General features: G+C 37.1%; 1 protein-coding gene across 24 annotated transcripts in view, besides 1 other annotated feature; it reads left to right on the forward strand.

Moving 5' to 3' along the window:
- Positions 1 to 26,274, forward strand: part of KIAA1328 — a 403,046-nt gene that overhangs the window by 303,803 nt on the left and 72,969 nt on the right. The window lies entirely within an intron of this gene.
- Positions 6,494 to 7,828: an enhancer, noted in NCBI's record as "VISTA enhancer hs590". NCBI's record gives its function as "enhancer in: forebrain[5/6]" and the evidence as "EXISTENCE:transgenic organism evidence [ECO:0001131][PMID:17130149]".

Raw genomic sequence — 26,274 nt, forward strand, 5'->3', positions numbered from 1 at the left:
TACATGCAACAACTTAAATGAATCTTACAGACATTGTGCTGAATAAAATAAGCCGTCTCAAAAATTCTATCCTGTTTGGTTCCATTTCCATGGCATTCCAGAAAAGATAAAACTAGCAATGGTGGCCAGGCGCGATGACTCACGTCTGTAATCCCAGCACTTTGGGAGGCTGAGGCGGGTGGATCATGAGGTCAGGAGTTCGAAACCAGCCTGGCCAACATGGTGAAACACCATCTCTACTACAAATACAAAATTAGGTGGGTGTGATGGCGCATGCCTGTAATCCCAGCTACTTGGGAGGCTGAGGCAGGAGAATCGCTTGAACCCGGGAGGCAGAGGTTGCAGTGAGTGGAGGTCACGCCATTGTACTCCAGCCTGGGCAATAAGAAAAAAAAAAAAAAACTACCAATGGAGAAAATAGTGGCTGTAGGTGTTAGGGTCAGGGAGGGGAAGTTGTGACTGCACTGGAATAGTAGAGTTTTTTAGGGTGATGGAATTATGTTGTATCTTGATTGTGATGGTTAAAAGAATCTATACATGTGTTAAAATTCATAGAACTATATACACCCCCAAAAGTCAACTTTTCTATATAGTAATTTTTTTTTTTTTTTTTTGAGACGGAGTCTCGCTCTGTCGCCCAGGCTGGAGTGCAGTGGCCCGATCTCTGCTCACTGCAAGCTCCGCCTCCCAGGTTCACGCCATTCTCCTGCCTCAGCCTCCTGAGCAGCTGGAACTACAGGTGCCTGCCACAATGCCTGGCTAATTTTTTGTATTTTTAGTAGAGACAGGGTTTCACCGTGTTAGCCAGGATGGTCTCCATCCCTGACCTCGTGATCGGCCCACCTCAGCCTCCCAAAGTGCTGTGATTATAGGTGTGAGCCATTACTCCCGGCCTCTGTATACTAAATTTTAAAATTAAAAACATTCGCATGACAAGTTTTTCTTGCCATTGATCTCTGGCATCTTTCATATTGATGCCATATTGTATTTTCCAAAGAACATATTGATAATTACTTCTATGAACTCATCATTTATCATGCTATAGAGCAGCAATTCTCAAGCATTGTGATCTCAGGACCCCTTTACATTCTTTTTTTTTTTTGAGATGGAGTCTTGCTCCATAGCCCAGGCTGGAGTGCAGTGGCATGATCTCGGCTCTCTGCAATCTCCGCCTCCCAGATACAAGCGATTCTCCTGCCTCAGCCTCCCGAGTAGCTGGGATTACAGGCACGCGCCACCACACCTGGCTAATTTTGTACTTTCAGTAGAGACAAGGTTTCACCATGTTGTCCAGGCTGGTCTCAAACTCCTGACCTCATGATCTGCCATCCTCAGCCTCCTAAAGTGCTGGGATTACAGGCGTGAGCCACTGCGCCTGGCTACATTCTTAACTGTTATTGAGGACCCCAAAGAAGTTTTATATAGGTCGTATCTGTTTAATGTCATATCTATTAATGTTTACTGTAATATGTAAATATTTATTAATTTAAAAGTAATAAACCTATTATAAACAATATATTTTTATGAAAAATTGCAATATTTCCTACAAAAAAAACTTAGAAAAATATCATTGTTTTATATTTTTGCAAATCTTTTTAATCTCTGGCTTAAAAGAAGACAGCTGTATTCTCATTTCTTCTGCATTCACTCTTCTGTGATGTCACATGTTGTGTACCTCCTGGAAAATCTCACTATATTCTCATGAGAGAATGAGAATGAAAAAGGCAAATAACACCTTCATATTATTGTGAAAATATTTTTTAAATTTTTTAAAATAATTTCAACTTTTATTTTAGATTCAGGGGCACATGTGTAGGTTTGTTTCCTGGGTATATCTTGTGATGCTGAGGTTTGGGGTACAAATGACCCTATCACCCAGGTACTGAGAATAGTACCCAATAGTTTTTCAACCCTTGCCCTGTCCCTCACTCCCACCTTCTAGTAGTTCCCAGTGTCTATTACCTTCTTTATGTACAGACTACCCAACGTTTAGTTCCCACTTACAAGTGAGAACATGTGCTATTTGGTTTTCTTTTCCTGCATTAATTTGCTTAGGATAATGGCCTCCAGTGGCATCCATGTTGCTAAAAAGGACATCATTCCATTCTTTTTTATGGCTGTGTAGTATTTCATAGTGTATACTTGCCATATTTCCTTTGTCCAGTATACCACTGATGGGCACCTAGGTCGATTCCATGCCTTCGCTATTGTGAATAGTGTTGCAGTGAGCCTGTGAGTGCATGAGTCTTTCTGGCAGAATGATTTGTTTCTTTGGGATATACACCTAATAGTGGGATTGCTGGGTCGAACGGTAGTGCTGTTTTAAGTTCTTTGAGAAATCTTCAGACTGCTTTCCACAGTGGCTGAACTAATTTACATTCACAATAGCAGTGTATAAGTGTTCCTTTTTCTCTACAGTCTCGCCAGCAACTGTTGTGTTTTGACTTTTAAAATAGTAGCCATTCTGACTAGTGTGAGATGGTATCTCATTACGGTTTTGATTTGCATTTCTCTGATGATTAGTGATACTGAGCATTTTTTCATGTTTTTTGGCTACTGTCTGTCTTCTTTTCAGTTCCTGTCTTTTGCCCACTTTTTAATGGGGTTGTTTTTTGCTTGTTTAACTGTTTTAGCTCTCTATAGATTCTGAATATTAGACCTTTGTCAGATGTATAGTTTGTGAATATATTCTTCTGTTGTGTAGGTTGTCTGTTTACTCTGTTGATAGTTTCCTTTGCTGTGCAGGAGCTCTTTAATTAGTTCCCACTTGTCAATTTTTTGTTCTGTTGCAATTGCTTTTGAGGACTTAATCGTAAATTATTTCCCAAGGCCGATGTCCAGAATGATATTTCCTAGGTTTTCTTCTAAGATTCTTATAGTTTGAGGTCTTACATTTAAATATTTCTTCCATCCGTCTTGAGTTAATTTTTGTATATGGTAAAAGGTAGCCGGTTACCCAATCATCATTATTGAACAGGAACTCCTGTCCCTATTACTCATTTTTGTTGATTTTCTTGAAGATCAGATGACAGTAGGTGTGTGGCTTTATCTTTGGGTTTTCTATTTTTTCCATTGGTCTATGTGTCTGTTTTGTACCAGGACCATGCTGTTTTGGTTACTGTAACCTTATAGTATAGTTTGAAGTTTGGTAAGAAAAAAGTGAAAATACTTTTTGCATCCTTGTACCACACTTTAAGAACCACTGCTTTTGAGATAGACACGTAGGCTGGTCCTTACCTTGTATCTTCAGTAGCACTGGCCGTGTGTGTTGATTCACCAGTGGACCTTGGTTTTCTTAAAGGAGATTTCAGCCACAATCTTTAACTAACCAACATGAGGTCCTATAAATTTATAGGACTTTGGTACCATATATTGGACTACTCTCAGTTCTAAAATTTTGTATTATATTCATGGTTCATTTGCAAGATATTTTTTGGCATACTGTAAATATATCCTCATAGTGTCTTTCTCGTCTTGTGCCAGATTTTTGAAGCTTCATAAGTACATGCTTGAATGAAATTAAAATATGGATTATAAATCTAAGAATGACTGTGGATGGTCCACAATACAAGAAAGAGCTAACAACTAACTCAGAGTTCTATTGTTCTAATCCCATAAATGTCCTCCAAATTATACTTGTTTCATCAGTATATGTATGTTGGGCCTCTTGTCTGTGTACCTCCACATGGAAGGCATTGCCAGGGATTCAGAGTAGAGTAAGGCCTGGTCTCTGCCCTTAGGAAACTAATCATGTAGTGGACAATCTTCGTACTTTGGTTTATACCTGTCTTCCTTAGTTTATATTGAACTGACATTTTTGTCTTCCCATATGTTTACCTTGTCTTACATTAAAAAGTTAAAAGGACTTATTCTACATTGAAATAGACATTAACTGACTTAAAGAGCTATTTTATTTGTTGAAGGTCATACAGAAATTCTCAAGGTCTTTGTAGGATTTGAGCAATAGAACGCTAATTTAGCTGTTTAGTGATCACTACAGTAGAGTGTTTTATTTAGTATAGCTTCATCATCATCCTCTTTTTTCTTAACTTTCCCTCAGTTGCTGCTGCTTCTGGACAGAATTGAAGATATTTTAATTAATGAAATTCCAGCTTTTTCTTTTTTAGTAAAGGAGCAAATTAAAATCTAGTAACACCTTCTAGTATGAAGTGTACCTTCACTCAAAATGAGATCTGCTCTAATCCCTAATTATATACCAGGATCACATCTTTGTGTGAAGCACCTGCCTTTCTCTGGAGTTCATATTTTAATGTGCCCATCAGGGAATACTGCTTAGAGGTCCCCAGAGATCTCAAATCCAAATGTCTCTTGCATCAGTACCTCTTACATCTTCAGACCCTTCCTCTCCACTCTCATTCCTTCTCTTCTGCCTATAAGCTTGCTCAAGGATCCTTCTCCTTAAAACAAAACAAAAAAACCCTCATTTTTGCCTTGCTATTGAGCTACTGCCCCATGTTTTTCTTTTTTCCATATTTCTTGAGAGCATAAGCTGTATTTTCTGTTTCTTTACCTTCCATTTATTCCTGGTCTACTATATCACTCAACTAAAACCATGCTCCGATGGTCACTAGTATCCTGCTAATTCTCAAATCTTTTTACTTTTTAATCCTCATCTTACTTGACTTCTCAATAGTAGGTGACATAGCTAACCTTTCTGATATCTCTCTCGTTCCCATGTTTTCTTGACACTATTCTTTCTTTCTCTGCTTATCTCCCTATTGGAGATTATTTCTCTGTTGGATTTTGCTTCCTTTGCCTCTGCATACTGTTTAAATATTGACAGTTTCATCCTCTTTCTCCTTCTCAATAGACCTCTTTCTCTGTGGGAAACTTAATTCATTCCCATGGCTAGATCATATCTCTATGCCAGTAACTCTACAATCTTTATCTCAGGTCCCAGCTTTTCCCTCCTGAGGTCCAAACCTGTCCTTATAACTGTGTGATAATATAACTAGCCCAAGTGATTTACACATCCCTCAAATTCAACATCTCCAGATCCAATCCAATTATCTCTACCCCGCCCCTGACCTACTTTTTCTCTATAATTCTCAGCAATTATAACATCTATCTCTTCAGCTAGTCTATAATAACTTATTGAACACCTTCTATGTACTAGATATTGCTCTTAAGCCTTTTAAATGTTTTCTCATTTAATAGTAACATAAATAATGATAATAATGGAAGCCAGCATTTAGGTAGTGTATATGTGCTGAGCATTCTTTTATACATCTTATATTAATTCGTTTAATCCTCACAACAACTCTGTGAGTTACATACTATTAATAAGTTGTTTTATAGATGAGGAAATGAGGCCCAGAGAGGTTAAGTAACTTGGTTAAGAAATTACATCTATCAGAACTTAGAAATAGCTATAGAATAGCCAGTTCTGTCTGACACCAAAGCTAATGTTCTTAACCACTCTGCTGCCCTTAGTGCTCCTCGGGGTGAGACTCTTCTCTTTCCTACACCACACATCTAAGTTACATCTTTCTATCTATTGTTGTCCAGAGACCATTATTCTACCCAGTACATCTAAGGGATTTGGCATAAGTAAATTAATCACTATGATGGTCACATTTTTTGAAGCCAGGAACCATGCCAGTGTCTTTGCATAATAAATACTAGTAAATTATTATTCCTTTTTACTGACTTTTCTTACCTCACTCCCTTCATGACCCCGCCCCCATTCTCCTCTTCTTGCAAGCTTCCTGTTTTTGTTACCTGCTTCATGTAGCACTTTGCATACTGCCATCGTAACACCTGCCACATTATGTATTCATTGTTTAGTTGCCTATTTCTTCCTTTTTACCTGTAAATGTCCAAAGGTAGTCATTTACTCCTTTGTGTACCTCCATGCCTGAATACAGAACCGACACATAGTAGGCTGTCAGATAATATTATTGGATATATGGAAATAAAATTTATATTGATAATTTTGGAGTTGGAAGGCAGAAAGATTTGACAGTACATGGAATATTTCATGTATGAAATTTTGTTCTTTTTTTTTTTTTTTTTTTTTTTTTTGAGACGAAGTCTCGCTGTGTCGCCCAGGCTGGAGTGCAGTGGCACGATCTTGGCTCACTGCAAGCTCCGCCTCCCGGGTTCACGCCATTCTCCTGCCTCAGCCTCCCTGGTAGCTGAAAATACAGGTGCCCGCCACCATGCCTGGCTAACTTTTATTTTTTTGTATTTTTAGTAGAGACGGGGTTTCACCTTGTTAGCCAGGATGGTCTTGATCTCCTGACCTCGTGATCTGCCCGCCTCGGCCTCCCAAAGTGCTGGGATTACAGGCATGAGCCACCGTGCCCGGCCAAAATGTTGTTCTTTAAACACTTCGGTCTCAAAATTTTTGTTCATTCACAGGTCCATTGCAGAGAAATATGAAGATTTAGTTGGGATGTTTAGGAAAATTATCTTTAAGACGAGTTCTAAGCAGTATGGTATGTGACACCTGGCTTGTATTCATTGGCAGCCAAGTATGCCCAGAAATGGTAACTAGAAAGTAGTACAACCTAAGAAATCATGAATTCTTCCTTTCAAATAGCAGGTGGAATTTAAATGCTAGTTTATGGTTATTATTGGACCTGCCTTTGCTACTTGAGTCACTTAGCACATCAGTAGATCTGTAATATTTCATTTACAGACCAAGTAGACGATTTTTGCTAGATTGATTTATTGAGATGAGCGACTAACTAAAACAAGTTAAATCTCATTGTCTCATCCCTGCATTAATTTTAACGTGAATTTAGTTGGGTTAAATGGACATTTGTTTTTATTATGTCAAAGATGAGACTTTTCCTCCAGTAAAGCAGAATAATGTATCTATATGGTGTTCTAACTTGAACAGTACATAAAGATTAGTAAATAAGGCCCCATTAAAAATACTTATAATGTAAGTAACATGAGTCCCAGTAGCATTTCTAATGTCCATTAATGCTTATTCGGAGGATCAGAGCTCATTTTACTGAGCCATTTAGTCAAACTGTGTGATTATTTAGAAAGTTAATTCATGCATACTAAAACCTAGCTTAAGTAATGCAGAGGGTAGGAGGTAAAACTCTATGGAGATGATAGTCCTTTTTGTTATTTAATGATCAGCCATAATTAACTTGCAAATTTGAAATAATTAGAACAAATTAAAGGTATTTAACTTTGCCTCCCTAAAGAAAAATTCAAATTGCACCAAATGCAGCTTTAAATTATTCAAGTCTCAGAGGTCTAGGCTAGATTTTTTTTTTATAATGCCTTTTCTATGATGAGAATACCAATCTGCTCTTTGTCAGAAGGCATCCTATCAAGTAATTGTTCTTTGTGTTAATAAATGACAGCTATTCTTCTTTGTAAAAGTATTTCAGTCTCCCAAGACTACAACAGCATTTCCATGGCATTTTAATTCAATAAAACAAAAGGTTAATGTTTTTCTACTTTTTAAGGAATGCAAATACATATGGTATTCAATTGGTCCTGAATGACATTTAAAATTTGCCATTAAAGCTCAGACAGACTATCGCGATATAAGATTTGGGCAAAATAGCAAGAAAAGTTCAAGGTGCTCTGAATTACCAGAATTTCATTAAACTTCAAGAACTGAGAATGTTTTTTCTTTCCCCACCCTAAATCAGGGCTACTCAAAAATTTTCATTTAGTATTTTATAATATTAAAATATGGAAATAGAGTTCAGTAAAATCTTAGGAACTTAAGGGTGACTTACAGTGTAGCAAGCCTAAATGCTAGGGATTTAACCTGTCTTCTGCTATCTTGATATTGATTATTTTTTCATCACTTTTAACAGCTCCATCAGATGCTAAATAAGAATGACAGAAAACTGTTTCTAATAATTCCATCCATATCAGTGAATGATGTTGTTCTATTAACAAATAATTCATTGTATGCATTTTATCTAGACTGTGTGAACTGATAAGAAACACTGATCATCTGACAATTAGGTTTTGACTTTATGGTGCCTAGCACAATGAATGGTTCAAAGTACCTGGTCAGTGAATGTTTCTTCAGTGTGTTATCTGGGTGCTTTTAGTTTAGGAAATAATTTACATAGTTCTTAATTTTGATACATCTCAGTATATTTAAAAGTTCTTTGGTGAAAGTTTTTCTGCGTTTGTCTTCAACTTTATTGTTAATCAACTTTACTTAAATATAACTTGCATTCAGTGAAAGGCACATATCAAGCTTGATGTGTTTTAACAAAGGAATATACTTGTGTATTTAACACCAAACCCCAATTACAACAGAAAGTATTCATCACCCCACAAAGCACCTTATACCACTTTTTGATGAGTTTCCCTCCAAAGATCCCTAGCCCATGCAACCAATAATCTGTTATATATCACTTGAAATATTATTGTGTGTTCTAAATCTTCATATAAGTAGAATCATACAATATGCGTAAGTCTGATACCTTTTACTCACCATAATGTTTTGGAGATATAGCCAAATTGCTGCGTGTTTCAGTATTCCATTACTTTTTTATAACTTAGAAGTAATTCATTGTATAAGTATATTACAACTTGTTTATCAGTGCATCTGTTGATGGACATATGGATTGTTTTCAAATTTTGGCAAAACAAAAGACAACTGAGCTGCTGTGAACATTTGTGTACATGTCTTTAGTGGACATGTTTTCTTTCTCTTAAGTAAATATCTAGGAGTGAAATTACTGTATCATATTGTAAGTTTATTTTCAACTGTACATGAAACTGCCAAACTGTTTTCCAAAGCTATATAACAATTCTCTCAGCAAAGCAGCAGAATTCCAGTTGCTCCATGTCCTTGCCAAGGCTTGGTATTATGACTTTAATTTTAAACATTTTAATGGATATGAAATAGCATCTCATTGTGGTTTTAGTGTGCAGTTCTCCTGATGATGTTTATTGGCCATTCATATAACTTTTTGTGAAATATTTGTTCAAATCTTTTAACCAGTTTTAATTGGATAAACAACTCAATTATTGAACATAGAGTTCTTTGAATATTTTGGATACAAAGTCTTCATCAGATGTATTGTGAATATTTTCTCCCAGTATGTGACTTAACTTGTTATGTCTTTAATGGTGTTTTTGAAGAGCAGGAATTTTTAATATTGATGAAAGTTAGAAAGATATTCTGTTGTGTTTTGCTATAGAAGTTATATAGTTTTAACTTTTACATTTAAGTCTATGATCTATATTAAGTACATTTTTGTGTGTAGTATGAGGTAGGGCTCAAGGTTCATTCTTTTTCTTTTTTGTTTTTGTTTTTTTGGGGATGGAGTCTCGCTCCGTCACCCAGGCCGGATTGCAGTGGCGTGATCTTGGCTTACTGCATCCTCCGCCTCCTAGGTTCAAGCAATTCTCCTGCCTCAGCCTCTTGAGTAGCTGGGATTACAGGCGCACACCACCACACCTGGCTAATTTTTGTATTTTTAGTAGAGACGGGGTTTCACTAGGTCGGCCAGGCTGTTCTCGAACTCCTGACCTCAGGTGATCGATCCACCCACCTCAGCCTCCCAAAGTGCTGGGATTACAGGCGTGAGCTACCGCACCCAGCCCCATTCTTTTCCATACAGATATTCTGTTTCTCCAGCACTATTTGCTGAAAAAAACTTTTTTCTTCACTGAATTGCCTGATACATTTTCAAAGGTCAGTTGAATGTGTACACACACACACACACACAAACACACACACACACCCCACACACACAGATTTATGGACTTCTGTTTCATTGATCTGTATGTCCATTCTTATATCAATGCCACACACTGGGTTACTTGAGCTTTATAGTAAATCTTGAAATTAGGTATAGTAAACCTTCAAGCCTTACTTTTTTATTAAAAATTATTTTTTCTGTTCTAGGTTCTCTACATTTTAGATCTAGTTTATCAGTTTCTATTAAGGAAATTGAATTATGATTCAATCAATTTGGGGAGAACTGACACCCTAAAAAATATTGAGTTTTCCAGTCCATGAAAATAGTTTATTTCTGGATTTACTTTGGTTTTTTTTTTTTGTTTTTTTTTTGTTTTTTAAGGCAGAGTCTTGCTCTGTCCCCCAGCCTGGAGTGAAGTGGCATGATCTTGGCTTACTGCAACCTCCGCCTCCCAGGCTCAAGCAATTCTCGTGCCTCATCCTCTGCACTAGCTGGGATTACAGGCATGTGCCACCACAGTTGGCCAATTTTTGTATTTTTAGTAGCAATGGGATTTTGCCGTGTTGGTCAGGCTGGTCTCGAACTCCTGGCCTCAAGTAATCTCCCTGCCCTGGCTTCCCAAAGTGCTGGGATTACAGGTGTGAGCCACCATGCCCGGCCTACTTAGATATTTTTAAATTTAACTCAGCAATGCCATATAGTTTCCAGTTTACCAGTCTTACACATTTTTTGTGGAATTTAATGATATAGAAAGACTATTGGTTTTTGAAGACTTAGTTTATATATTGCAATTTGTTAAATGGATGTAGTCTACCAGTGTTTAAGTTTTTGTAGATTCCTTAGGATATTGAAATTCACAATCTCATTGCCTGTGAATAATAACAGCTTTATTGATGCCTTTCCAAGCTTTATGCCTTTTTTTCTTTCTTTTTTTTTTTTTTTTTTTTTTGCTTATTTTATTGTCTAAGACTTTCAAAACAATATGAAAGTGTTAAAGAAGACATCCTTATATTGTTCCCAATCTTAGGGAAAAGGCATTCAGTAATTAACCAGTAAGTAAAATGTTAAATACAAGTTTTTGGTAGCTGTCCTCTATAAAATTGAAATAAGTTTCCTTTTATTCCTAGTTTACTGGGAGTTTTTAATCATAACTTTATCAAATGCTTTTTCGGCATTTATTGATATAATCATGTGGTTTTGCTCCTTTTTTCTTTTAGTGGTACCACTTACCTGAATTTATTTTTGAATGTTAAGCCAATGTTATATTTTGAAAAAATACTAACTTGGCCGTGATATGGTACCATTTTATATTATTTTATAATAACTTAGGTATTACACAGTAACAAAATACGTTGCAAAGTATTTCCTCCTCTTCTATATACTGAAAGTTTATGTAGGATTGGCAGTATTTCTTTCTTATATGTGATAAAATTTACCAGTGAAGCTATCTGGGCAGTTTTCTTTGTGGGAACATCTTTGATTATGAATTCAATTTCTGTAACAGATATGAAGCTACTCATATTTTCTCTTTCTTCTTGAGTTAGTTTTGACAAGTTATATTTTTTAAAAAATGTGTGCATTCATTTCATTAAATATATTGGCATAAAGTTGTTCATGATATAACCTTAATGTCATTTTACTGTCTGTAGGCTCTATAGTGATACCATCTCTGATTCCTAACTTGAGTTTTCTCCTTTTCTTAGTTTGTCTTGGTAGAGGGGTTTACCACTTGTATTAATCTTTTCAAGAGGCCAATTTTATGTTTCTTTTGTGTTTTTATTTGTCTATTTTATGGATTTCTACTCTTTACTGTTTCCTTCCTTCTCCTTACCTTATATCTAGTTTGCTCTTCCTTTTCTTGCTTCATAAGATAGAATATTACATCACTGATTTTAAACTCTTTTCTAATACCAGCACTGAAATTATTTTTCCTCTAAGCACTGCTTCTTTTGTTGTTGTTGAGACAGGGTCTAAGTCTGTCACCCAGAATGGAGTTCAGTGGTACAATCTTGGATCTCTACCTCGCCTGACTCAGGTGGTCCTTCCACCTCAGCCTCCTGAGTAGCTGGGACTACAGGCAAACACCACCACACCCAGCTAATTTTTGTATTTTTTTGTAGAGTTGGGGTTTCGCCATGTTGCCCAGACTGGTCTTGAACCCCTGGTTTGAAGTTATCCTCCTGTCTCCACATCCCAAAGTGTGGGGATTACAGGCGTGATCCACCATACCCAGCCAGTACTGCCTCTTTATCCCTCAAATTTTAATATGTTATATTTTTTATCATTCCTTAAAAAATATTTACTAACTTATCCTGTGATTTTTCTTTACCTATGGGTTATTTAGAAGTGTGTTTAATAGGCCGGTTTTGGTGGCTCATGCCTGTAATCTCAACATTTTCAAAGGCTGAGGTGGGTGGATGGCTTGAGCCCAGGAGTTTGAGACCAGTCTGGGCAACGTGGTGAAAACCCATCTCTACAAAAAATACAAAAAGTAGCCAGGCATGATGGTACATGCCTATAGCCCTAGCTGCTCAGCGGAAGTGGAGGTTGCAGTGAGCCATGATCGCACCACTGCATTCCTACCTGGGCAACAGGGTGAGAATCAGTCTCACAAAAATAAAGAAAGAAAAAAAAAAGTATGTTAAATAATTTCCAAATACTAGAGAGATTTTTCTAGATTTTTTTTATTTTTAGTTTAACTCCAGTGTGGTCAGATAACATATTCTGTAAGTTTTTATTCTTTAGAAATGTATTGAACTTTATTTTATAACACAACGTGTGATCTGTCTTGGTCAGTATTCCATGTGTACTTATAAAAATGTATAGTCTGCTGTTGAGTGTAGTGTTCTGTACATGTCACTTCGATCAAATTGATCAATAGTATTGTTCACTTCTTCTTTAGCCTGCTGAATTCAGGGGGTTTATTTTTTGGTACTATCAACTGATAAAAAAGAAATGTTAAAATATCCAAATATGATTTTAATTTCTCTACTTTTTCCTTCAGATTTATCAGTTTTATGACATGTATTTTGAAGCATTGTTCTAGATGCATATGTGTTTATGATTATTATGTCTACCTGATTATTTGCCCCTTTTATCATGATGAAATATTTCTCTTTATCTCTGGTAACACTCTTGCTTAATATTTAATGTATTTGATATTATATAATCATTCCAGCCTTTCATGTGTACTGTTTTCAGGGCCTATCTCTTTTCATCCTTTTATGTTAACCTATTTATTATTTTATTTTTAAAGTGTTAACTCTTGTGAACAACGTGTGATTTTGTTCTGCATTTTTCTCTAGTCTGACAATCTATTCCATTTGAGTGCTTAATCCATTTAAATTTAACTTAATTATTGATACTGTTGAACTTAGGTCTACCATTTTGCTTCCCCCGCTCCCAATTTATTAGTTTATCTTTTTTTGTTTATTCATTGCTGTTTCTCCTTTTCTGCTCCTTTTTTTGGGGAAATGGGAGGATAATACTTTTTTTTTCGGTTTTTAAACTTGTACATTCAGGGATACATGTGCAGGTTTGTTATATAGAAACTTGTATCATGGGGGTTTGTTTTACAGATTATTTTGTCACCCAGGTACTCAGCCTAGTACCCAATATTTATTTTTTCTTCTCCTCTACCTCCTCCCGTCCTGCACCCTCAAGTAGGCCTCAGTGTCTATTGTTCCCCTCTTTGTGTCCATGTGTTCTCATCATTTAGCTCCCACTTATAAGTGAGAGCATGCAGTATTTGGTTTTCTGTTCCTGCATTAGGTTGCTAAGGATAATGGCCTCCAGCTCCATCCATGTTCCCACAAAAGACATGATCTTCTTCTTTTTATTGCTGCATAGTATTCTGTGGTATATATGTACCACATTTTTTAAATTCATTGATGGGCATTTAGGTTGATTCCATGTGTTTGCTATTTTGCATAGTGCTGCAGTGAACATTGGCATGCATGTGTCTTTATGGTAGAATGATTTATATTCCTCTGGGTGTATACACAATAATGGGGTTGCTGGGTCAAATGGTAGTTCTGTTTTTAGCTCCTTCAGGATAATTCCTCTATTATCTTATTAGCTATGTGGCGTTGCATTTTCTTTGGTGATTTCTGTAGAGATTACAATATGTGTCCCTAACTTACTACAGTCTACATAGTGTTAACGCTGTGCAACTTTACGTAGAATGTAAGGCCTTTTTTATTGCTAACCTATATTTACTTCCCCATTCTTTGTGACATTATTGTCATATACATTAGATCTTAATACTCCAAATCTCATGTTGAAATCTGATCCCCAGTTTTGGAGATGGGACCTAATGGAAGGTGTTTGTGTCATGGGATTAGAACCTTAATGAGTAGATTAACTCCCTCAGGAGTGAGTGAGTTCTTACTCTGTTAGCTCCCATGAAAGCTGGTTGTTCAGAAGAGCTGACATCTCACCCCTCTCCTTCCCACCTCTCACCATGTACTATCTGCACAGTACAGCTCCCCTTTGCCTTCTGCCATTAATGGAAACAGACTGAGGCACTCACCAGGTGCACATATCCAATCTTAAACTGTCCAGCCATCAGAATTGTGGGCCAAATAAACCTTTTTACTTTAAGAATTAATGAGTCTCAGGCATTCCTTTATAGCAACACAAAACAGACAAAGACAGTGGCCAGCAACATATTTATAATCGTGAATTTAAATAAAGTTCTTACCTGCCAAGTTCAACATGTGGGCCATCTTTTGGTTGATTTTAATTGATTGATTTTTTTTTCCCTTGACTGTGGTTAACATTTTGTTTCTTTTCACGTCTGGTAATTTTTTATTTTGTCCTGAATATTATGTATGAAACATTATAGATAGGGATTTTATTATCATTTTCTGAAGAGTGTTGGTTTTTGCCCACATCTGCAATGTAGCTACCAGTTAGTCACCTTTGAACTTGGATAGGTTTGGTTTTATGCTTTGTGAGGGCAGATCTCTGGAAAGCCTGGGGTGTTTTCCAAGCCCCTCTAAATTGGTAGGACTCACTCTCCAAACTCCTTCTTTGTACATTTCACTGAAGCTTGATTTTGGTCTTTGTTAGAGAAGTTTATGATAAGCCTTCTTCTCGTATGTGGGCTTTCTAGTATTCTTAGCGGAAGTCTAGGACATTAAGATATCCCTCCATTCTATGTCAGAACTTAAAATTTCTCGTAGTATTGCCCAATTTGTAGCATTTCTATATAGTTATGTGTCAGTTAGTGATAGGTATATGTTCTAAGAAATGTCTTAATAATTATTGTGCAGACATCATAGAGTATACATACACAAACCTAGCCTATTATAGACCTAGGCTATATAGTGTAGCCTATTGCTCCTAGGCTACAAACTTGTAGGGCATTTTTTTCTTTATATTTTTATTTTTATTTTTAAGTTCTAGGGTAGATGTGCAAGTTTGTCACATAGGTAAATGTGTGCCATGGTGGTTTGCTGCACCTATCAACCCATCGCATAGACATTAAGCCCAGCATGTATTAGCTATTTTTCCTAATGCTCTCCCTCCCCCCACCACACCTCCCAACAGGCCCCACGGTGTGTTGTTTCCCTCCCTGTGTCCATGTGTTCTCATTGTTCAGCTCCCACTTATAAGTGAGAACATGCGGTATTTGGCTTTCTGTTCCTGCATTATTTTGCTGAGGATAATGGCTTCCAGCTCCATCTGTGTCCCTGAAAGGACATGATCTTGTTCCTTTTTATGACTGCATAGTATTCCATGGTGTATATGTACCACATTTTCTTTATCCAGTCTATCATTGATGGGCATTTGGGTTGATTCCATGTCTTTGCTATTGCGAATAGTGCCTCAGTGAACATATGCATACATGTTATCTTTGTAATTCAATGATTTGTATTCCTTTGGGTATATACCCAGTAATGGGTTTGCTGGATCAAATGGTTCTAGATCCTTGAGGAATCGCCACACTGTCTTCCACAATGGTTGAACTAATTTACATTCTCACCAATAATGTAAAAGCGTTCCTATTTCTCTGCAACCTTGCCAGCATCTGCTGTTTCTTGACTTTTTAGTAATAACCATTCTGACTGGCATGAGATGGTATCTCTTTGTGGTTTTGATTTGCATTTATCTAATGATCAGTGATGTTGAGTTTGTTTTCATGTTTGTTGGCTGCGTGAATGTCTTCTTTTGAGAAGTGTGTATTCATGTCCTTTGCCCACTTTTTAATGGGGTTGTTTGTTTCTTTCTTGTAAATTTGTTTAAGTTCCTTGTAAATTGTGGATATTAGACCTTTGTCAGATGGATAGATTGCAAAAATTTTACCCCACTATGTAGGTTGCCTGTTCACTCTGATGATAGTTTCCTTTGCTGTGCAGAAGCTCTGATAGAAAGAATCAATATTGTGAAAATGGTCATACTACCCAAAGTAATTTATAGATTCAGTGCTATTCCATTAAACCGCATTGACATTCTTCACAGAATTAGAAGAAACTATTTTAAAATTCATATGGAACCAAAAAGAGCTTATATAGCCAAGACAGTCCTAAGCAAAAAGAACAAAGCTGGAGGTATCACGCTACTGTACTTCAAGGCTACAGTAACTAAAACAGCATGGTACTGGTACAAAGACAAACACATGGACCAATGGAACAGAATAGAAGACACAGAAATAAGACCACACATCTACAACCACCTGATCTTCGACAACCTGACAAAAACAAGCATTGGGAAAAGGATTACCTATTTAATAAGTGGTGCTGGGAGAACTGGCTAGCCTTATGTAGAAAACTGAAACTTGACCCCTTCCATATACAAAAATTAACTCAAGATGGATAAAGTCTTAAATGTAAAACCCAAAACTATAAAAACCCTAGAAGAAAATCTAGGTGGTACCATTCAGGACATAGGCACAGGCAAAGATTTCATAACGAAATCCCCAAGAGCAATTACAACAAAAACAAAAATTGACAAATGGGATCTAATTAGAGCATATTACTGTACTGAATACTCTAGGCAGTTGTAACACTATGGTAAGTATTTGTGTACCTGAATATAGAAAAGGTATAGTAAAAAATTGATATTATAATCTTGTGGGACCACTGTCATATATTTGGTCAATTGTTGACTGAAACCTCATGATAGAGTCTGTGACTGTATTTCTATTCTGCTTTCAACCTTGTAGCAGCTACTCTTTGGTAAGTCATGCAGTGAAAAAGAAAACCAAACAGGAAATCAACAACACTAAAAGTTGATTCTTTGAAACTGTAAATAAAATTAATAATCCTTTTCAAGATGATCAACCTACTATGAAAAGAAAAAAATTACCAATATCAGGACTGAAAAAGGATATATCACTATATGTTTTAATTATATTTTTAAGTAATGAAGGAATGTTGTGAACAATTTTTTGCAAGCACTTTTGACAATTTAAACAATATAAATTCCTTTAAGTCAATAATATACCAAGATTGGTACAAAAAAGTAGAAAATTTGAATAACCCTATATCTGTTAAAGAAATTTAATTTCTAGTTAAGAACTTTCCCATAAGTAAAACTACACACCCATCAAAACTTCACTTGCAAATTCTACCTAGTATCTATAGAAGAAATAATATCAATCTTACACAAATTATTTCAGAGACTAGAACAGGGTGTCTCAGCCTTGGTACTATTGATGTTTCAATGAGATAATTATTTGTTGTGAGAGGCTGTCCTGTGCATTGTAGGATGTTAAGCAGCATCCCTGGCCTCTACCCACTAGATGCCAATAGCATCCCCGAGTTGTGACAATCAAAAACCTCTGCAGACATTGCCATATGCCTTCTGTGTGGCAACATTCTGTCCTCCTACCACACTTGAGAACCACTGGACTATAGGAAGAAGGAACTATTCTCAACTTCTTTTGTGAGGTCTGAACCTGGTAAAGGCATTAGAAGAAAAGAAAATGACAGGCCGGTCTTCCTCATGGACATAAATTCATGGACACAAATGCAGAAAAAAAAAAACCCCACAAAAAAATCCTTAACAAAATATCAGCAATTTAAGTTCAGGAATATGTAAAAAGCATAATACAGCTTGACTAAATAGGCTTAACATTTGAAAATCAGTCAATGTAATTTGTGATATTAACATAATAAAAAATATTTTAATCCTTTTTAAAGATTAAAGAAAACTTCATCTCAAACAGATGCAGGAAAAGCATTTGACATAACTCATCCAGTGCTTATTCATTATAGGAAGAAAAAAAAGACCTCTCATCAAGCTGGAAAAATGATAGTGTCAACAGAGATACATCTCTTTAATAACAAACACTTTTAGGAACAGGGTAAAGATGTCCACTCTTACCACTTTTATTCAGCATTGTCTGGGAGGTTCTGGTGTGATCAGGCATGAAAGATATTGGGAAGAAGTAAGTGAAACTGTCTTTATTCTCAGATAACATGATTGTATACATGGAAAAATACTAAGGAAGCTACAGAGACAAGTACTAGAATTAAGTGAATTTAACACAATCACAGAATGCAAATTCAATGTATAAAAATAAAATTTATTTCTATATAATAACAGTAATTAGCATAGAAAATAAAAGCATTTATAGTACCATCAAAACCATCAAATAATGAAGAATAAATTTAGCAAAAGAAGCAAAATATCTCTACATGATAACCACAAAATACTGCTGAGACAAATTTAAGAAAACTAAATGGAAAGAAAGATATGCTCTTGAATTTGACCAGTCGGTATTGTTATAAATATCAAAATTTTTTTCCAAACTGAGTCTTAGATTCAATGCAATTTCAGTCAAAATACCAACATACTGTTTTATAGAAGTTGGCAAACTTATTCTGAAATTTATATGGAAATGTGAAAGGACTAGAATAGCAGTGACAGTCTTTGTTATTCTAGAAGACTAAATTGAAGGACTTATGCTACCTAATTTTAGGTATGTAAATTAAAGTTATGTAATCAATACAGGTTGGTATTCACCTTAAGATGCATAAATAGATCGATGGAAAAGAATGGAGTCCAGAAACAGACCCACACACTCATATGCTCAACTGTTTTTTGACGGTGGTGCCAAGCAATTCAGTAGAAAAAGGAAAGCTTTTTAAACAAGTAATGCTAGAAATATTGGATACAAATATGGGGAAGAAATGAACCTTGATCCCTACCTCACATCCTAGCCAAAAAATAATTTGATCTTGAGGCATTAAAGTGCGAGTGGTATGAGAAGGGCATCCATAGAAGAGGGCAGCTAGGCATAGAATATCAGAACTTTTGCACGGTGAGGAGGGCTTCCATATGGGAACTGCACTGGTGTTGTGTGTTGGAGCTTGAGCAGAATGAGAAGGAGGTATCTATGTGGAGTTTGGCCTTGCAGGGGGTCTTGTTACCCAGAGGGATGAAGAGAGCTTCCTTAGGAGTAGCCCAGTCATGGCTAGGTGGGAATGGGTTGTAGGGGAAGAATAATTTTTTCTTCAGTCCTCATAGGTTCTTAGTTGGAATGGACCTATGTAAAAAAAAAAAAAAAAAAAAACAGATTAGCAAGAGAAAAACAAACATACATTAACACGTGTGTTTCATATGTACATGGAAGAAACTCAGAAAATTAGTAGTTCTCAAAGAGGTAGTTTTCATTCCAGCTTTTATAGCATCTTCAACAAAGAACAGTAGAATTTTAGAAAAGTAACGAGACAAAGGTAAAGGACTTTAAGTTCCTAAAGGTAGCAAATTGAGTCAAGGAAACTAAATGACAGATAAAGGCTAGTTGGTAAAGCCTGTTAATATAGATTCCCCTGGTATCGTCTCCAGATGATAAGGGTCTAAAGTTGCCTTCAGTGTTTAACCTTTGTTCTCCCTAGTAGAAGGCGAGCAGGGTACCTTTTGTCTCTGTAAGTTTGTGTTCAGCTTTTAGGCAGATAAAAGGGAGGGCAGAGAGCTTTCCTGTGTTTGCTTTTTCTTAATTGTCCTGAGCCCAACAATCCTTCGTTTTGTTGGGTAGCACATTTTGTCTCCTGCAGTGTCCAGAGTGTCCATACAGTGGCGCGTTGGCAGAAGCAGCCCAGAAGCATGTGGTGTGAGAGGAGTAGGCTGGTAAAGGATGAATAGCTGTGGTGACAGAATATTATTTTAATACAAAAGTATTAAGTAAGTAATTATGGTACAGGGCTAAAAAGAAATTATTTAAGCAGTTAGAGAGGGTAAGAGAGTCCTCAGTAAGGCTTCCCTTTTAACAAAAAGCAGCCCCCAAATCATTTGTTTTCCAACAAAGAGCAGCCTGAAAAATCGAGTTGCAGACATAGATAACCAAGCTGGAAGCTTGCACAGGTAAATGCTGGCAGCTGTGCCAATAGGAAAAGGTTACCTGGAGGCCAGGCATGTTCAACATGGAGGCTCCATCTTTACTTTTCTTTGTCAACCACATGTACAGTAAAGGAACAGGCAACATGGTGCTGGCAAGGTAGAGAGCCCATCTGCAAAATAAAAAATTAGGGTGGGGCAGCCACCTTCTTCATGCACTGTGAAAATGGCACACTTGGTCCGACCAATCTTTTGGGCCTTATGTAAGTCAGACACTGCCTCCTCAAGCTTGTCTACAAAACCCCATGCATTTAACCACGGAACCAGAATACCCACTCAGGAGCCCCTCTCTGCAGGAGAGAGAGCTTTTCTCTTTCTCTCACCTATTAAACCCCCACTCTTAAACTCACTCCTTGTGTGTCTGCGTCATTGATTTCCTTGGCTTAGGGCAACAAACCTTGGGTATTACCCCAGATGAATGATGCCACTTCAGTTATATTACAGAAAATGGCAGCCAGTTTTTTTCATTGTTGGAGAAAGGATATATCTATGGAAAGAGAAGAAGCTAAAATGAACCCTGTTGGTTTAGAGTTGGAATTTTGAAGATATTAGTATAAACTCTGTATAAACGCATGTTTTTCCCTCTATATATACCTATATATAGAAATGACTATATAGGTACATACATGTATTCTCTTTCCGTGTTCACAGCAAGGACTTGGGAGCTGTGGCAATCCAATAGCTTTTTTTTTTTTTTTTTTTTTTTTTCCCAATACAAGGTACCAGACCTTTTCAAAGAAATGGCTGATTCCAGGACTGGTTCAGAAACTGGACAATATAGCAATTGTTTAGGTATGATATGGCCAGCACCTGAATCAGGCCACTGGAAGTGAACGGAGGAATTAAGAGGTATCTATCTGTTTCTCCAGCCTAGATTTTATGGTCTTCTAAATCAAGGACTTGTTCTTTTTCTTTTAAAAAAAAAAAAAAAAAAAGACTCATGCCAAAATTTGAGTATTTCATGTGCTGTTTTTTCTCTTATACTCTATTCGCTTAAATGTCTACCTTTCTTCCCCTGGTTTTCCTCACATCACTGACACCCCTTTCCCTCCTGCTGTCCCCCGAGGATTTCCTACAGGTGCCTTAGAGAATCCGTGTTTCCTAGGAAATGCACTCTTTTCATCTGCCTTTTTCTAAAAGACTGTTTTCTCCCACTCTTCACAATAACTCAGTAATTTTCAATCCTATCTGAACATTAGAATCACCTATAGAACTTTTTTAAAAGGAGAGGAGAGTGAGAGAGGGAAGCAAATAATATCCAGGTCCCACCCTAGACTGATTAATTCAGTTTCGACAAGTGGGTGAGACTCAGTCCATCGCTCTTATTAAAAATTCCCCAGATTATTTAAATGTATTGCCAAGCTGTGAATCACTGCCTAAAATCAGCATCTTTTCTGAGAGCACCACTTCTATTAGAGGCCATTCTTTCTGTCACATTTGATAAACAACAGAGAGAGGAGTGCCAGCATTTTTCTTGCATATCTCTTTATTTATGTGAATCTAAATATATGTCTAGTTTTACTGCAGCAGTCCATCCTTTTCCATCCTTTGTTTTCCATCATTATCTCACTAGGACCTTGACGTCCCACTTAAAGTCACTTTCTCCCCCATAACTCCTACCATCATTCTGTGAGATCCCAATATCCATATGGTTGATGTATCCATTGCCATAGCTAAAGAATTTCTGCGTTCCTCAATTCACTCCAGCATCATCCATGGTGACACCCAGAGCTTGCTATCACCCACCATGGTTTCATCAGAAAAATCATTGACTCTGCCATCCCAGCCTCTTTCTTTACAGCTTATATTCTCATGTTTATCACATACACCATACCAAGGGTTTTTATATTTCTGGTGTTGTTGCTGTTTTATTTTCGCTTTACCTTAAAGGGATATCTAAATTATTTATTTCCCCTCATTTTTCTGCCAGTCTTTTCAGTCCCTGTTGCCTCACTTTCTTCCTGGACCGAATGGTTGACCTATACTACATTAATATATTTATTTCCCTTGACCCCCAGTCTGCTGCATTGTCCCAGTAAAAATCCTAACCCTAGATTGAGCTCTCACACTGCTTTCTCTGCTTTTTAATCTCTGCACTTGAGCCCTGCTACAAATGGATGATTTCTATTTCTGTTAGGGCCTCAACATTTCAGGAAAATCTTTTTCTTTTCATTTCTATTTCGAATTCCCTCAATACATACTCCAAACCTTCACCTCTCTTCTCAATACCTGCTTTACTCACTCACAAGAATGACTGTATCTCCTCCTACACCAAGGAAATTGAAATTGAAGCATATTCTTTCTCAACTCTGCCTCCCTCAACTCTACCACCTCTAAACTCACTTAGCCAATAGCAAAAAGCCATGGAGTTACTGATCAAATTACTTTCTTGAAATATCTTCTCAGATGTTCCATAAGCATCTCAAGCTGCAGTTAATTTTTCCCACCCTTCCCCAATCCTCCTCTGTATTGCTTATCAACCCAAAATTCTGGCAGTCATTCTTGACTTTTCTCTCCCTCTCTCTTACATCAAGTTCTACCCTTTTTAAATCCTAAATATTTCTTAAACTATGTCTTTCCGTTCCTACTACCGCTTCTCTATTGCAAACCTTCATCTCTCACCAGAGCTGTTTCAGCAGCCTTCCAACTCATCCAGTTTCTTGAAGCCCATTCTCTAAATGGTGCCAGAGTAATTTTTCATAAATTCTGGTTGGATCATATCATTTTTCTCCTGAGAGCCTTTCAGTGACTCCACCTTGGCCACAAGATAGAGTTCAAGCCCCTCAGCATGGAAAACGCAACCTTTCATGATCTGACCTGCCCTGTCTTACCTGCTTCATCTCCGTTCCTCCCTACCACACACCCAAAGTTTAATGCTGTAACAATACCTAGCTATTTAACTTTCCCAAAATATGAACTGAAGTTTCATTTGTTGGTATATTTGCTAATACTTTTTTATTTTACCTAGAACATTCTTACATTTTTCCTTATCTTTCAAGGTTAAGTTTGAGTATTTCAGGAATCTCTCTTCTGTTATGCAAATAAAGTTAGGTGCCTTGCCCTTGCACTCTCATAACATCCAGTATATTCCTGAATTACTGCATTTGGCATATGGTATTAAAAATTCTGTTTCCACGTCTGTCTCCCCCACTAAAATCTCTTTAAGAATAGGAACCAGGGCTGGGCCGGGCTCGGTGGCTCACACCTGTAATCCCAGGACTTTGGGAGGCCAAGGCGGGCAGATCACCTGAGGTCGGGAGTTCGAGACCAGCCTCACCAACATGGAGAAACCCCATCTCTACTAAAAAATACAAAGTTAGCCGGGCATGTAACAAAATTACAGGCATGGGATTGCATGCCTGTAATCCCAGCTACTCGGGAGGCTGAGGCAGGAGAACCGCTTGAACCCGGGAGGCAGAGGTTGTGGTGAGCCGAGATTGTGCCATTGCACTCCAGCCTAGGTGACAAGAGAGAAACTCCGCCTCAAAAAAAAAAAAAAAAAAAAAAAAAAGAATGGGAACGAGGGCTTTCTCATGTTTGTATACCCAGCACCTAGCATAAAATAAGTCCTCTGTAAATGTTTGTTTTCCATTTTGCCCAGCCCAGTCTCACAGTACATATCAGGCCCATAAAGTGTGTTCTTCAGTCAATATCTGATGAATATATAAGTGAATGATTGATTAGGAAATTTATTAAAAAGGAATAAGGAGAGCAGAAGTTGAGACAACTGAGATTTCTTATGAGTGACTGGGAGGATGGTGATATCATTAAGTGAGAATGGAAACAGAAGGAGGAAGTAGTTTCAAGATAAAGATACTGGATTGCTTTAGCAAGAGTTGGTTTGGGAGGCAGGAATAGACATCGCTTTACAGCTTTTCATCAGATACTTGATCAGGTCAGCAGTTTTGGCAAGCACTGTGAACTAGAAGAATCTGTTTAGAAATCGTACTTGCAGATATAGAGGTGTGGCAAGGATCACCAAGAAAGTACTAAGAGGGAAGAGGACAGGGACAGACTTTTGCAATGTCTGCATCTAAGGGGAAGGAAGAAGTCTCCTAAAACCAGAAAACCAGTCAGGATAATGTGTTATGAAGACCAAGGGAGAAAACATTTCAAGAAAAAATGTTTTCTTGAATTTCTTGAATTTCTGTAGGGTGATCTAGTAACAAGCAAGACTGTTCAAAGAAGAAAGGCCTTTTGATTTGTTCTTTAAAAACAAGTTCTAGTCGGTATGTCTGTTAGAATAAATTATTGTTTTCTAGACGTTCAGCAGACAAGGAGAGAGGAGATGGTAATGGAAGGGACATGGTGAGAGTTTTTTGTTTGTTTTTAAATTATAAAATGCATGCCTATTGGAAGAAATTAAAACATTCAGAGTTATATAAATTAAAATATAAAACTCTTCCCTCTATTTCTTCTACTCCCTTCTAGTTTGACATTTATCCATCCAGAACTTTAAAAATATTTTTGTATATTTTTATTTTTATAAAAATGAGATCACATTATATACTCTATAATTGCAAATTGCTTTTATTTTAATAGCATGTCATGAAGTTTCTTCTCATCAGTGTAAAGAATTACCTCATCCTAGCCAAGTGTGGTGGCTCACACCTGTAATCCCAGCACTTTGGGAGGCCGAGTGGGCAGATCACGAGGTCAGGAGTTCAAGACCAGCCTGGCCAACATAGTGAAACCCCATCTCTACTAAAAATACAAAAATTAGCCGGACATGGTGGTGTGTGCCTGTAGTCCCAGCACTCGGGAGGCTGAGGCAGGAGAATCACTTGACCTGGAAGGTGGAGGTTGTGGTGAGCAAAGACTGCGCCACTGCACTCCAGCCCGGGCAACAGAGTGAGACTCCTCTCCAAAAAAAAAAAAAAAAAAAAAAAGAATTACCTCATTCTTTTTAATGGCTGAATAGTGTTCTTTATAATTAATATGTACCATAATTTATTCATTCTCTTATAGAATGATATTTGCTTTCAGTTTTTCACTATTACAAATAATTCTCCAGTGATTATCCTTAAACAAATATTCTCATGCTGTTGTTCATGTAATTCTGCAGGAGAAATTCCTTTTTTTTTCTTTCTTTCTTTCTTTCTTTTTTTTTGGAAACAGAGTCTCACTGTCTCCCAGGCTGGAGTGCAGTGGCATGGTCATATCTCACTATAAGCCCAAACTCCTGGGCTCAAGCTATCCTGCTGCCTCAGCTTCCCAAGTAGCTGGAACTATAGGCACATGCCACCATGCCTGGCTAATTTAAAACAATTTTTTTTCTTTAGTGATGGGGTCTTGCTGTGATGCCCAGTCCGATCTCAAATTTCTGGCCTCAGGTGTGGGATAAAAGTAGAACTGTTGAAAGAGGGATGCATTTTCATTTTGTGTTGACAAGTCACTCACAAAAAGGTGATACCCATTTGTGGTTCCTGCAATAGGTATTAAAGTGCTCTTGTCCCCACACGCTCACTGACACTGGGTATTAATGGAGGATCTGCTCTTGTTTGTAGCCCTAGGAAAAAATCCAGTTTAGAGGAGGAGTTTGTGAGTTATAAGAAAAAGAGATGATTGACAGGCCATAGTCACAGAGGGGATGGGTCAAGATGGTATCAAGAGTGCAAATAAAAGGTAAAATTTTTTGAGACATGAAGAGAGGAATAGTAGATGGGTGAATATGGAAATAAATACAAATGAAGGAAGAAATTTTTCATATAGTCATCTTTATTTTAGGGAAATTAGAAGCCAAGTTTCCAGTTGTGATGGAGGATTACCAAGGTGGAATTTTGAATAAAGGTACAGAAAAGCTTCTGTGAAAATGCTGTAAAGAAGCAGAAGGCAGTCAGTATTGGGAGTCTGGCTGAGCTGAGAATGAATCAAATTTGGGGAAGCCAATGGTTGGGGTCACATTCATTTTTCTACAGAACAAGCAGAGATGTAGTCACTGGATTTGCCTGGGTTTGGGGCCTCTGGGTTGACGTAAATTTATATAACATTCACAATAAGGTACTTTTATTTTCCGTATTTCCCTGTTCCGTGAGTGCAATTTGTATAACCCTAAGTTATACATCTTCTGGTGGGTCTGAGAGGAAAATGGTCTCTGTGTTCTGATTTAAAAAAAAAAGAAGAGTATCACTTTTATACATTTTCTTGTGCCTACTTTATAAAGCCATATAACTAATGATTTTATTTTCTTTATATAATTCTGAACATAAAGCCATTTACTTTCTTGGTTTTTGTTAATAAATTATGATATGAGCAAACACTG

This window comes from Homo sapiens, chromosome 18, assembly GCF_000001405.40.
Source record: "Homo sapiens chromosome 18, GRCh38.p14 Primary Assembly".
Classification (NCBI taxonomy): Eukaryota; Metazoa; Chordata; class Mammalia; order Primates; family Hominidae; genus Homo; species Homo sapiens.